Source organism: Homo sapiens, chromosome 10 (assembly GCF_000001405.40).
Source record: "Homo sapiens chromosome 10, GRCh38.p14 Primary Assembly".
Lineage (NCBI taxonomy): Eukaryota > Metazoa > Chordata > Mammalia > Primates > Hominidae > Homo > Homo sapiens.
Genome location: NC_000010.11, coordinates 122605295 through 122618896, shown reverse-complemented (window position 1 = coordinate 122618896; position 13602 = coordinate 122605295). Strand labels below are relative to the sequence as shown.

At 49.7% G+C, this 13602-nt stretch overlaps 1 protein-coding gene across 5 annotated transcripts in view; it reads right to left on the bottom strand.

Moving 5' to 3' along the window:
• The window catches only part of DMBT1 (deleted in malignant brain tumors 1), an 82983-nt gene that overhangs the window by 24840 nt on the left and 44541 nt on the right, over positions 1-13602 (bottom strand). For 3 of the 5 annotated variants that reach the window (NM_007329.3, NM_001320644.2, NM_017579.3), the window contains 7 exons: positions 12718-13041; positions 11709-11738; positions 9756-9788; positions 8659-8982; positions 7650-7679; positions 1637-1669; positions 557-880 (listed from right to left, as the gene is read on the bottom strand). In NM_007329.3, the coding sequence (NP_015568.2) occupies positions 557-880; positions 1637-1669; positions 7650-7679; positions 8659-8982; positions 9756-9788; positions 11709-11738; positions 12718-13041 (1098 nt within the window). Of the gene's footprint in view, positions 1-556; positions 881-1636; positions 1670-3590; positions 3621-4599; positions 4924-5696; positions 5730-7649; positions 7680-8658; positions 8983-9755; positions 9789-11708; positions 11739-12717; positions 13042-13602 lie in introns of all 5 variants that reach the window. The other 2 variants (NM_001377530.1, NM_004406.3) reach the window with 2 other exon arrangements.

The window sequence follows — 13602 nt, the reverse complement described above, 5'->3', positions numbered from 1 at the left end:
CTGGGGCACAGGCAGTGCTCTGCAGCATTCTTAGAGGACCTGAGGTCAAGGACTCCAAGCAGGCCTGACACAAACAGACATGCATTTGCACTCCTAACCCTTGAGCCTCTATTTCCAGACCTCCTCACTGGGTCTCAGCTGAGAACCCACTTCCAGACAAGCATCTTTAGTTCACAGTTCCTTGTAGTGAGAGGATCCCTCCCTGCCCCTGCTATCTGTGCTGTGTCCACGATACCCTCAACCAGTGCTACTCAGCAGGGAAGAAATGGAGCCGTGGGGAGCCAGCACTTTTCTCTTCTGCCTCTTCCTTGCACTGCCTCAGGATGGGGATAAAGTCTGGGTTGTTGTTTCAGTTCGGAGCCCTGGCCTAAGTGGCCACAGCTGCACCAGGTACTGTAGCAAAATTCATAAAGATTCTTAGCAGAGAGCTAACAAGACTTCAGAAATATAGAAAACATAGAAAAAGCTTTGAGTGAGGAGATCAGAATGTAATTAGGATTTTCTTCCTGAGCAAACTTCAACTTAAGAGAGGGAGCCCAAGGTCTTGAAAGCCCACCTGAGCAGATGACACCAGCATCTTCATGATGGCCACAGTTGTGGGAGAGCCAGCCATTGTGGGGGCAGCTCCACAGGTAAGACTCGTGTCCTGAGCAGCGCACATCATCCAGGACAATGGGTCCTGAGCCCTGGCCAAACTGGGCATTTCCTGGGGCTGACATGGCCCAGCCACAGCCCAGCTGCCTGCAGACCACGTTGGCATCATTGGTGTCCCAGTAGTCATCACACACGGTGCCCCAGGAGCCTTGGTATAGGACCTCCACTCGGCCTCGACACCTGTCACCTCCATTCACCAGTCTCAGGGCCAAAGTGGATTCAGATCCTACAGGGGAACACAAGAACCCTTCATCCATCCCCACCAGGAGGTCAACAATCTAAGGCAAGTTCCACACTCAGGGTACTTCCTAATGGCCAGAGTCACCTGGGCAAGCAGTCACAATTGCATACAACTGCTACCGGAGGTTCAGCTTTATCATAGGGAAAGGAGAGGTGATACACTATGCTGCCTGGGTTTATGGAGGCTCAGATTTTGGGGAAGCACCTGTGACCCCACTGGAAGTGACAGGAATGAATGCCCCACTCCCTACTCTGGGCACACACAGGATGGAGCTCCACAGCTCCAGAGAGCAGGCCCATGCTGGCCCCATGTTTAAGAGTTTGGTGGCATCCACATGGTCCTCTCTGGTTTCTGGCAAATTTCCAGGGATGGCAAGGACTTGGCCAGACAGCTGCAGGGACAGAAATTTTCACCCACCCTTGCAGGTCTGCAGTGCGTGGTCAGAGGGCCAGGAAAGAGGTCCCAGCAGGATTAGGGAGCCTTCCAGTGCTCGTCCTGAGCACCTGGATGAGGATCGTTCCTGAACACTTGGAACAGGGTCCCATGAGAGACAGTCACCAGCACCCTCCATCCTCAAACATCAAACCCAGGGCTGACTCCCTAGAAACTCCACCTTCCTCCCACCCAACCCACAGGGACATGAAAAGAGAGGGGCCCACCTTGAGCCTCATCCTATCAGTTTCAAACACAAAATATGTCCAGAGATAGTGAGCCCTAGGGAGGGGTGAGAGGATTGTTTACCTGCTGTTGATGCACGAGAGGTTGGCCAAGTGTCTGTAAATAGCAACAAAGAAAAAAGACAGAATTAGACTTGAAGGGAAAAGGCACAGAACAAAAGGTTCTCTGGGAGGGGGAATCAACCTGGCAACAATTCCACTTCCTGTTCCTGCCACTTGCTTCCCATGTGTCTTCCCAGGTCTCCTCTGCTGTGAACTCATCCATGAACAAAGGTCCTGCTGGAGACCAGACTGAGCCCTCCATTTCTCTAATCCTGGGGTATCTTTCTATCTGTTAGAGGATGCCCCCCACCATGCAATCCCACATCTGCTGATGCATGGACTGACTAGGACATCAGATGCCATTGCTGAGGCTCAGACACTGGCAGATAAAATGTTAGGGGAACCAGGGGCTGCCCAGGGGACAATCAGGAATCAGGTTTCTGGCTAAGCAGAGACACTACAAACCTTTATTATCCCTTTCCCTGCCCAAGCACAAACCCTGCCTCTTCTGGATACAAATGTGGTCCATCATAATCTCAGAATTTTTCCAGCAGTGATGGATGGGGGTATCGAGCCTGCCCTGACAATGCCTTGAACAGGTCAGAGGGTGACACCCTCAATTTTCGAAACTATATGTGAGTCCTGAATATAAAAGGACCAAAACTCATTAAACATGGGGCCACTTCCTGAACCTGTAAGGGCTGTCCACTGGGACAGTATGAAACTGTTTCATGAAAGCTGAGAGGGGTTGAAAAGAAGACAGAGGCCTCCTGAATCCTATGTGTGTTTTCAAAGCACTGTGCTGTGTTGCGGGAAGTCAGGGACCCCAAACAGAGGGACCGGCTGAGGCCATGGCACAAGAACATAAATTTGAAGATTTCATGGACATTTATTAGTTCCCCAAATTAATATTTTTATAATTTCTTACGCCTGTCTTTACTGCAATCTCTGAACATAAATTGTGAAGATTTCATGGACACTTATCACTTCCCCAATCAATACTCTTGTGATTTCCTATGCCTGTCTTTACTTTAATCTCTTAATCCCATCTTCTTCATAAACTGAGGATGAATGTCACCTCAGGACCCTGTGATGATTGCGTTAACTGCAGAAATTGTTTAAACAATATGAAATCTGGGCACTGTGAAAAAAGAACAGGATAACAGCGTTGTTCAGGGAACAAGGGAGATAACCTTAAAGGCTGGCTGCCTGTGGGCCAGGCAGAACAGAGCCACATTTCTCTTCCTTCAAAAGCAAATAGGAGAAATATCGCTGAATTCCTTTTCTCAGCAAGGAACATCCCTGAGAAAGAGAATGTGTTCCTAAGGGGAGGCCTCTGAAATGGCCGCTTTGGGAACGTCTGTCTTTTACGCTTACAGATAAGGGATGAAATAAGCCCCGGTCCCCCGTAGCGCTTCCAGGCTTATTAGGATGAGGAAATTGCCTCCTAATAAATTTTGGTCAGACCAGTTGTCTGCTCTCAAACCCTGTCTCCTGATAAAATGTTTTCAATGACAATGCGTGCCCGAAACTTCATTAGCAATTTTAATTTCACCCCAGTCCTGTGATCTTGCCCTGCCTCCATTTACCTTGTGATATTTTATTACCTTGTGAAGGATGTGATCTCTGTGACCCACACCCTATTTGTGCACTCCCTCCCCTTTTGAAAATCACCAATAAAAACTTGCTGGTTTTGCTACTCAGGAGGGATCACGGAACCTGCTGACATGTGATGTCTCCCCCCAACACCCAGCTTTAAAATTTTGCTCTTTTGTATGCCTTCCCTTTATTTCTCAGACCGGCTGACACTTAGGGAAAATAGAAAAGGACCCATGTGAAATACAGCCGGTGGTGGCGGTAGAAATAATATGCCCCACAGTATCCACACAGAGAAACAGGAGAGCTCTGTGGAGTGGGGAAGGGGTGATTGGGCAGAAAGAGAAGGGACATTTTGAGGAAGGACACTGGGAACTTACCTGGGCTGGGTGTCGGCTGGGACTGGGAAGCTGTGAGAAAGAGAAGAGAAGGTCAGATCAGGAATGTTACACAGAAGTCGACAAAACTGGAATGAGGAGGGAAAGAAATGGGCGAGTCTGACACTCAGTCCATCCTAGTTCCTATCACACAGGGAGGGACATTGCCATGCACATCCCCACAGAGATGCACCGTGTAAGGGGTTGAGGCAGATCCTGTCCACTATTGCCAGCTCTGAGGAGATCAAATTGTGTCTGCGCAGGGTAACCCAGTTGACCTAAACCAACCCACTCCCTTGCACATCTTAGGTGTTCCTGAGTCAGCAAGGCTGAGGAAGCCACTCCAGCCAAAATCCCTTGTGTGATCTTCAAGCCCCGACCACAGGCAATAATGAGGCCAAGCCTGGCCAGTCTCATGGGGGCTGCCCTCCCCACACCAGACCCAGGGCAAGGCAGTGCTCTGCAGCGTTCTGAGAGGACCTGAGGTCAAGGACTCCAACCTCACACAACCCAGGCCTGATAGAACCAGACACCCATTTTGCACTCCTAACCCTTGAGCCTCTGTTTCCAGACCTCCTCACTGGGTCTCAGCTGAGAACCCACTTCCAGACAAGCATCTTTGGTTCAGAGTTCCTCACAGTGAGAGGATCCCTCCTCTGCCCCGCTGTCTGTCCTATGTCCATGATACCCTCAACCACTGCTACTCAGCAGGGAAGAAATGGAGCCCTGGGGAGCCAGCAGTTTTCTCTTCTGCCTCTTCCTTGCACTGCCTCAGGAAGGGGATAAAGTCTGGGTTGTTGTTTGACTTTGGTCCCCTGTCCTAAGTGACCACATGAACACCAACCGCTGTAGCAAAATTCATACAGATTCTTAGCAGGGAGCTAACAAGGCTGCATAAATACAAGAAACATAGAAGAATCTGTGAGTTCAGAGGAGATCATAATGTAATTAGGATTTTCTTCCTGAGCAAACTCCAACCTAGGAGAGGGAGCCGAAGGTCTTGGAGGCCCACCTGAGCAGATGACACCAGCGTCTTCATGATGGCCACAGTTGTGGGAGAGCCAGCCATTGTGGGGGCAGCTCCACAGATAGGACTCATGTCCTGAGCAGCGCACATCATCCAGGACAATGGGTCCTGAACCCTGGCCAAACCGGGCATTTCCTGGGGCTGACGTGGCCCAGCCACAGCCCAGCTGCCTGCAAACCACATTGGCATCATTGGTGTCCCAGTAGTCATCACACACGGTGCCCCAGGAGCCTCGGTATAGGACCTCCACTCGGCCCTGACACCTGTCACCTCCATTCACCAGCCTCAGGGCCAAACTGGATTCAGATCCTACAGGGGAACACAAGAACGCTTCATCCATCTCAAATATGAGGTCAAGGATAAGGCATGGACAACAATCAGGGCAGTGGGCAAAGTAGTCAAGTTTCAATACGAATGCAGAAGTCACCAGGGCATGCAGTCATGATGGAAGATAGCTGCACCCAGAGGTTAAACTTTGTCATAGTGGAAAAAGTGATGCCCTATTCTACTCAAGTCTATAAAAGCTCAAGCTATGGGTAAGCATGTATGACCCCAGAGGAGGGGACAGGAATGGACACCCCATTCCCCACTCTGGGTACACAAAGGATGGAGATACACAGCTACAAATGACAAGCCCAGACCCCCTCCGAATTCAGGAGCTCATTGGCACCTGCATGGTCCTCTCTGCCTTCTGGCAATTTGCCAGTGATGGCAAGACCTTGGCCACACAAGTGCAGAGACTGGCACTTTCACCTGCTCTTCAGAGATCTGGATCCCATGGCCTGAGGGCCAGGAACGAGGTCCCAGTAGGATTAAGGAGCCCTCCAGTGCTCATCCTGAGCACCTGGATGAGGATCTTTCCTGACCACTTGGAACAGGATTCCATGGGAGACAGTCACCAGCACCCTCCATCCTCAAACATCAGACCCAGCACTGGCTCCTCAGAGATTCCACCTTCCTCCCACGCAACCCACAGGGGAGTGAAAAAAGAGGGGCCCACCTTGAGCCTCATCCTATCAGTTTCAAACACAAAATATGTCCAGAGACAGTGAGCCCTAGGGAGGGGTGAGAGGATTATTTACCTGCTGTTGATGCATGTGAGGTTGGCCAAGTGTCTGTAAATTGCAACAAAGGAAAAGACAGAATTAGACTTGAAGGGAAAAGGTGCAGAACAAAAGGTTCTCTGGGAGGGGGAATCCACCTGGCAACAATTCCACTTCCTGTTCCTGCCACTTGCTTCCCATGTGTCTTCCCAGGTCTCCTCTGCTGTGAACTCATCCATGAACAAAGGTCCTGCTGGAGACCAGACTGAGCCCTCCATTTCTCTAATCCTGGGGTATCTTTCTATCTGTTAGAGGATGCCCCCCACCATGCAATCCCACATCTGCTGATGCATGGACTGACTAGGACATCAGATGCCATTGCTGAGGCTCAGACACTGGCAGATAAAATGTTAGGGGAACCAGGGGCTGCCCAGGGGACAATCAGGAATCAGGTTTCTGGCTAAGCAGAGACACTACAAACCTTTATTATCCCTTTCCCTGCCCAAGCACAAACCCTGCCTCTTCTGGATACAAATGTGGTCCATCATAATCTCAGAATTTTTCCAGCAGTGATGGATGGGGGTATCGAGCCTGCCCTGACAATGCCTTGAACAGGTCAGAGGGTGACACCCTCAATTTTCGAAACTATATGTGAGTCCTGAATATAAAAGGACCAAAACTCATTAAACATGGGGCCACTTCCTGAACCTGTAAGGGCTGTCCACTGGGACAGTATGAAACTGTTTCATGAAAGCTGAGAGGGGTTGAAAAGAAGACAGAGGCCTCCTGAATCCTATGTGTGTTTTCAAAGCACTGTGCTGTGTTGCGGGAAGTCAGGGACCCCAAACAGAGGGACCGGCTGAGGCCATGGCACAAGAACATAAATTTGAAGATTTCATGGACATTTATTAGTTCCCCAAATTAATATTTTTATAATTTCTTACGCCTGTCTTTACTGCAATCTCTGAACATAAATTGTGAAGATTTCATGGACACTTATCACTTCCCCAATCAATACTCTTGTGATTTCCTATGCCTGTCTTTACTTTAATCTCTTAATCCCATCTTCTTCATAAACTGAGGATGAATGTCACCTCAGGACCCTGTGATGATTGCGTTAACTGCAGAAATTGTTTAAACAATATGAAATCTGGGCACTGTGAAAAAAGAACAGGATAACAGCGTTGTTCAGGGAACAAGGGAGATAACCTTAAAGGCTGGCTGCCTGTGGGCCAGGCAGAACAGAGCCACATTTCTCTTCCTTCAAAAGCAAATAGGAGAAATATCGCTGAATTCCTTTTCTCAGCAAGGAACATCCCTGAGAAAGAGAATGTGTTCCTAAGGGGAGGCCTCTGAAATGGCCGCTTTGGGAACGTCTGTCTTTTACGCTTACAGATAAGGGATGAAATAAGCCCCGGTCCCCCGTAGCGCTTCCAGGCTTATTAGGATGAGGAAATTGCCTCCTAATAAATTTTGGTCAGACCAGTTGTCTGCTCTCAAACCCTGTCTCCTGATAAAATGTTTTCAATGACAATGCGTGCCCGAAACTTCATTAGCAATTTTAATTTCACCCCAGTCCTGTGATCTTGCCCTGCCTCCATTTACCTTGTGATATTTTATTACCTTGTGAAGGATGTGATCTCTGTGACCCACACCCTATTTGTGCACTCCCTCCCCTTTTGAAAATCACCAATAAAAACTTGCTGGTTTTGCTACTCAGGAGGGATCACGGAACCTGCTGACATGTGATGTCTCCCCCCAACACCCAGCTTTAAAATTTTGCTCTTTTGTATGCCTTCCCTTTATTTCTCAGACCGGCTGACACTTAGGGAAAATAGAAAAGGACCCATGTGAAATACAGCCGGTGGTGGCGGTAGAAATAATATGCCCCACAGTATCCACACAGAGAAACAGGAGAGCTCTGTGGAGTGGGGAAGGGGTGATTGGGCAGAAAGAGAAGGGACATTTTGAGGAAGGACACTGGGAACTTACCTGGGCTGGGTGTCGGCTGGGACTGGGAAGCTGTGAGAAAGAGAAGAGAAGGTCAGATCAGGAATGTTACACAGAAGTCGACAAAACTGGAATGAGGAGGGAAAGAAATGGGCGAGTCTGACACTCAGTCCATCCTAGTTCCTATCACACAGGGAGGGACATTGCCATGCACATCCCCACAGAGATGCACCGTGTAAGGGGTTGAGGCAGATCCTGTCCACTATTGCCAGCTCTGAGGAGATCAAATTGTGTCTGCGCAGGGTAACCCAGTTGACCTAAACCAACCCACTCCCTTGCACATCTTAGGTGTTCCTGAGTCAGCAAGGCTGAGGAAGCCACTCCAGCCAAAATCCCTTGTGTGATCTTCAAGCCCCGACCACAGGCAATAATGAGGCCAAGCCTGGCCAGTCTCATGGGGGCTGCCCTCCCCACACCAGACCCAGGGCAAGGCAGTGCTCTGCAGCGTTCTGAGAGGACCTGAGGTCAAGGACTCCAACCTCACACAACCCAGGCCTGATAGAACCAGACACCCATTTTGCACTCCTAACCCTTGAGCCTCTGTTTCCAGACCTCCTCACTGGGTCTCAGCTGAGAACCCACTTCCAGACAAGCATCTTTGGTTCAGAGTTCCTCACAGTGAGAGGATCCCTCCTCTGCCCCGCTGTCTGTCCTATGTCCATGATACCCTCAACCACTGCTACTCAGCAGGGAAGAAATGGAGCCCTGGGGAGCCAGCAGTTTTCTCTTCTGCCTCTTCCTTGCACTGCCTCAGGAAGGGGATAAAGTCTGGGTTGTTGTTTGACTTTGGTCCCCTGTCCTAAGTGACCACATGAACACCAACCGCTGTAGCAAAATTCATACAGATTCTTAGCAGGGAGCTAACAAGGCTGCATAAATACAAGAAACATAGAAGAATCTGTGAGTTCAGAGGAGATCATAATGTAATTAGGATTTTCTTCCTGAGCAAACTCCAACCTAGGAGAGGGAGCCGAAGGTCTTGGAGGCCCACCTGAGCAGATGACACCAGCGTCTTCATGATGGCCACAGTTGTGGGAGAGCCAGCCATTGTGGGGGCAGCTCCACAGATAGGACTCATGTCCTGAGCAGCGCACATCATCCAGGACAATGGGTCCTGAACCCTGGCCAAACCGGGCATTTCCTGGGGCTGACGTGGCCCAGCCACAGCCCAGCTGCCTGCAAACCACATTGGCATCATTGGTGTCCCAGTAGTCATCACACACGGTGCCCCAGGAGCCTCGGTATAGGACCTCCACTCGGCCCTGACACCTGTCACCTCCATTCACCAGCCTCAGGGCCAAACTGGATTCAGATCCTACAGGGGAACACAAGAACGCTTCATCCATCTCAAATATGAGGTCAAGGATAAGGCATGGACAACAATCAGGGCAGTGGGCAAAGTAGTCAAGTTTCAATACGAATGCAGAAGTCACCAGGGCATGCAGTCATGATGGAAGATAGCTGCACCCAGAGGTTAAACTTTGTCATAGTGGAAAAAGTGATGCCCTATTCTACTCAAGTCTATAAAAGCTCAAGCTATGGGTAAGCATGTATGACCCCAGAGGAGGGGACAGGAATGGACACCCCATTCCCCACTCTGGGTACACAAAGGATGGAGATACACAGCTACAAATGACAAGCCCAGACCCCCTCCGAATTCAGGAGCTCATTGGCACCTGCATGGTCCTCTCTGCCTTCTGGCAATTTGCCAGTGATGGCAAGACCTTGGCCACACAAGTGCAGAGACTGGCACTTTCACCTGCTCTTCAGAGATCTGGATCCCATGGCCTGAGGGCCAGGAACGAGGTCCCAGTAGGATTAAGGAGCCCTCCAGTGCTCATCCTGAGCACCTGGATGAGGATCTTTCCTGACCACTTGGAACAGGATTCCATGGGAGACAGTCACCAGCACCCTCCATCCTCAAACATCAGACCCAGCACTGGCTCCTCAGAGATTCCACCTTCCTCCCACGCAACCCACAGGGGAGTGAAAAAAGAGGGGCCCACCTTGAGCCTCATCCTATCAGTTTCAAACACAAAATATGTCCAGAGACAGTGAGCCCTAGGGAGGGGTGAGAGGATTATTTACCTGCTGTTGATGCATGTGAGGTTGGCCAAGTGTCTGTAAATTGCAACAAAGGAAAAGACAGAATTAGACTTGAAGGGAAAAGGTGCAGAACAAAAGGTTCTCTGGGAGGGGGAATCCACCTGGCAACAATTCCACTTCCTGTTCCTGCCACTTGCTTCCCATGTGTCTTCCCAGGTCTCCTCTGCTGTGAACTCATCCATGAACAAAGGTCCTGCTGGAGACCAGACTGAGCCCTCCATTTCTCTAATCCTGGGGTATCTTTCTATCTGTTAGAGGATGCCCCCCACCATGCAATCCCACATCTGCTGATGCATGGACTGACTAGGACATCAGATGCCATTGCTGAGGCTCAGACACTGGCAGATAAAATGTTAGGGGAACCAGGGGCTGCCCAGGGGACAATCAGGAATCAGGTTTCTGGCTAAGCAGAGACACTACAAACCTTTATTATCCCTTTCCCTGCCCAAGCACAAACCCTGCCTCTTCTGGATACAAATGTGGTCCATCATAATCTCAGAATTTTTCCAGCAGTGATGGATGGGGGTATCGAGCCTGCCCTGACAATGCCTTGAACAGGTCAGAGGGTGACACCCTCAATTTTCGAAACTATATGTGAGTCCTGAATATAAAAGGACCAAAACTCATTAAACATGGGGCCACTTCCTGAACCTGTAAGGGCTGTCCACTGGGACAGTATGAAACTGTTTCATGAAAGCTGAGAGGGGTTGAAAAGAAGACAGAGGCCTCCTGAATCCTATGTGTGTTTTCAAAGCACTGTGCTGTGTTGCGGGAAGTCAGGGACCCCAAACAGAGGGACCGGCTGAGGCCATGGCACAAGAACATAAATTTGAAGATTTCATGGACATTTATTAGTTCCCCAAATTAATATTTTTATAATTTCTTACGCCTGTCTTTACTGCAATCTCTGAACATAAATTGTGAAGATTTCATGGACACTTATCACTTCCCCAATCAATACTCTTGTGATTTCCTATGCCTGTCTTTACTTTAATCTCTTAATCCCATCTTCTTCATAAACTGAGGATGAATGTCACCTCAGGACCCTGTGATGATTGCGTTAACTGCAGAAATTGTTTAAACAATATGAAATCTGGGCACTGTGAAAAAAGAACAGGATAACAGCGTTGTTCAGGGAACAAGGGAGATAACCTTAAAGGCTGGCTGCCTGTGGGCCAGGCAGAACAGAGCCACATTTCTCTTCCTTCAAAAGCAAATAGGAGAAATATCGCTGAATTCCTTTTCTCAGCAAGGAACATCCCTGAGAAAGAGAATGTGTTCCTAAGGGGAGGCCTCTGAAATGGCCGCTTTGGGAACGTCTGTCTTTTACGCTTACAGATAAGGGATGAAATAAGCCCCGGTCCCCCGTAGCGCTTCCAGGCTTATTAGGATGAGGAAATTGCCTCCTAATAAATTTTGGTCAGACCAGTTGTCTGCTCTCAAACCCTGTCTCCTGATAAAATGTTTTCAATGACAATGCGTGCCCGAAACTTCATTAGCAATTTTAATTTCACCCCAGTCCTGTGATCTTGCCCTGCCTCCATTTACCTTGTGATATTTTATTACCTTGTGAAGGATGTGATCTCTGTGACCCACACCCTATTTGTGCACTCCCTCCCCTTTTGAAAATCACCAATAAAAACTTGCTGGTTTTGCTACTCAGGAGGGATCACGGAACCTGCTGACATGTGATGTCTCCCCCCAACACCCAGCTTTAAAATTTTGCTCTTTTGTATGCCTTCCCTTTATTTCTCAGACCGGCTGACACTTAGGGAAAATAGAAAAGGACCCATGTGAAATACAGCCGGTGGTGGCGGTAGAAATAATATGCCCCACAGTATCCACACAGAGAAACAGGAGAGCTCTGTGGAGTGGGGAAGGGGTGATTGGGCAGAAAGAGAAGGGACATTTTGAGGAAGGACACTGGGAACTTACCTGGGCTGGGTGTCGGCTGGGACTGGGAAGCTGTGAGAAAGAGAAGAGAAGGTCAGATCAGGAATGTTACACAGAAGTCGACAAAACTGGAATGAGGAGGGAAAGAAATGGGCGAGTCTGACACTCAGTCCATCCTAGTTCCTATCACACAGGGAGGGACATTGCCATGCACATCCCCACAGAGATGCACCGTGTAAGGGGTTGAGGCAGATCCTGTCCACTATTGCCAGCTCTGAGGAGATCAAATTGTGTCTGCGCAGGGTAACCCAGTTGACCTAAACCAACCCACTCCCTTGCACATCTTAGGTGTTCCTGAGTCAGCAAGGCTGAGGAAGCCACTCCAGCCAAAATCCCTTGTGTGATCTTCAAGCCCCGACCACAGGCAATAATGAGGCCAAGCCTGGCCAGTCTCATGGGGGCTGCCCTCCCCACACCAGACCCAGGGCAAGGCAGTGCTCTGCAGCGTTCTGAGAGGACCTGAGGTCAAGGACTCCAACCTCACACAACCCAGGCCTGATAGAACCAGACACCCATTTTGCACTCCTAACCCTTGAGCCTCTGTTTCCAGACCTCCTCACTGGGTCTCAGCTGAGAACCCACTTCCAGACAAGCATCTTTGGTTCAGAGTTCCTCACAGTGAGAGGATCCCTCCTCTGCCCCGCTGTCTGTCCTATGTCCATGATACCCTCAACCACTGCTACTCAGCAGGGAAGAAATGGAGCCCTGGGGAGCCAGCAGTTTTCTCTTCTGCCTCTTCCTTGCACTGCCTCAGGAAGGGGATAAAGTCTGGGTTGTTGTTTGACTTTGGTCCCCTGTCCTAAGTGACCACATGAACACCAACCGCTGTAGCAAAATTCATACAGATTCTTAGCAGGGAGCTAACAAGGCTGCATAAATACAAGAAACATAGAAGAATCTGTGAGTTCAGAGGAGATCATAATGTAATTAGGATTTTCTTCCTGAGCAAACTCCAACCTAGGAGAGGGAGCCGAAGGTCTTGGAGGCCCACCTGAGCAGATGACACCAGCGTCTTCATGATGGCCACAGTTGTGGGAGAGCCAGCCATTGTGGGGGCAGCTCCACAGATAGGACTCATGTCCTGAGCAGCGCACATCATCCAGGACAATGGGTCCTGAACCCTGGCCAAACCGGGCATTTCCTGGGGCTGACGTGGCCCAGCCACAGCCCAGCTGCCTGCAAACCACATTGGCATCATTGGTGTCCCAGTAGTCATCACACACGGTGCCCCAGGAGCCTCGGTATAGGACCTCCACTCGGCCCTGACACCTGTCACCTCCATTCACCAGCCTCAGGGCCAAACTGGATTCAGATCCTACAGGGGAACACAAGAACGCTTCATCCATCTCAAATATGAGGTCAAGGATAAGGCATGGACAACAATCAGGGCAGTGGGCAAAGTAGTCAAGTTTCAATACGAATGCAGAAGTCACCAGGGCATGCAGTCATGATGGAAGATAGCTGCACCCAGAGGTTAAACTTTGTCATAGTGGAAAAAGTGATGCCCTATTCTACTCAAGTCTATAAAAGCTCAAGCTATGGGTAAGCATGTATGACCCCAGAGGAGGGGACAGGAATGGACACCCCATTCCCCACTCTGGGTACACAAAGGATGGAGATACACAGCTACAAATGACAAGCCCAGACCCCCTCCGAATTCAGGAGCTCATTGGCACCTGCATGGTCCTCTCTGCCTTCTGGCAATTTGCCAGTGATGGCAAGACCTTGGCCACACAAGTGCAGAGACTGGCACTTTCACCTGCTCTTCAGAGATCTGGATCCCATGGCCTGAGGGCCAGGAACGAGGTCCCAGTAGGATTAAGGAGCCCTCCAGTGCTCATCCTGAGCACCTGGATGAGGATCTTTCCTGACCACT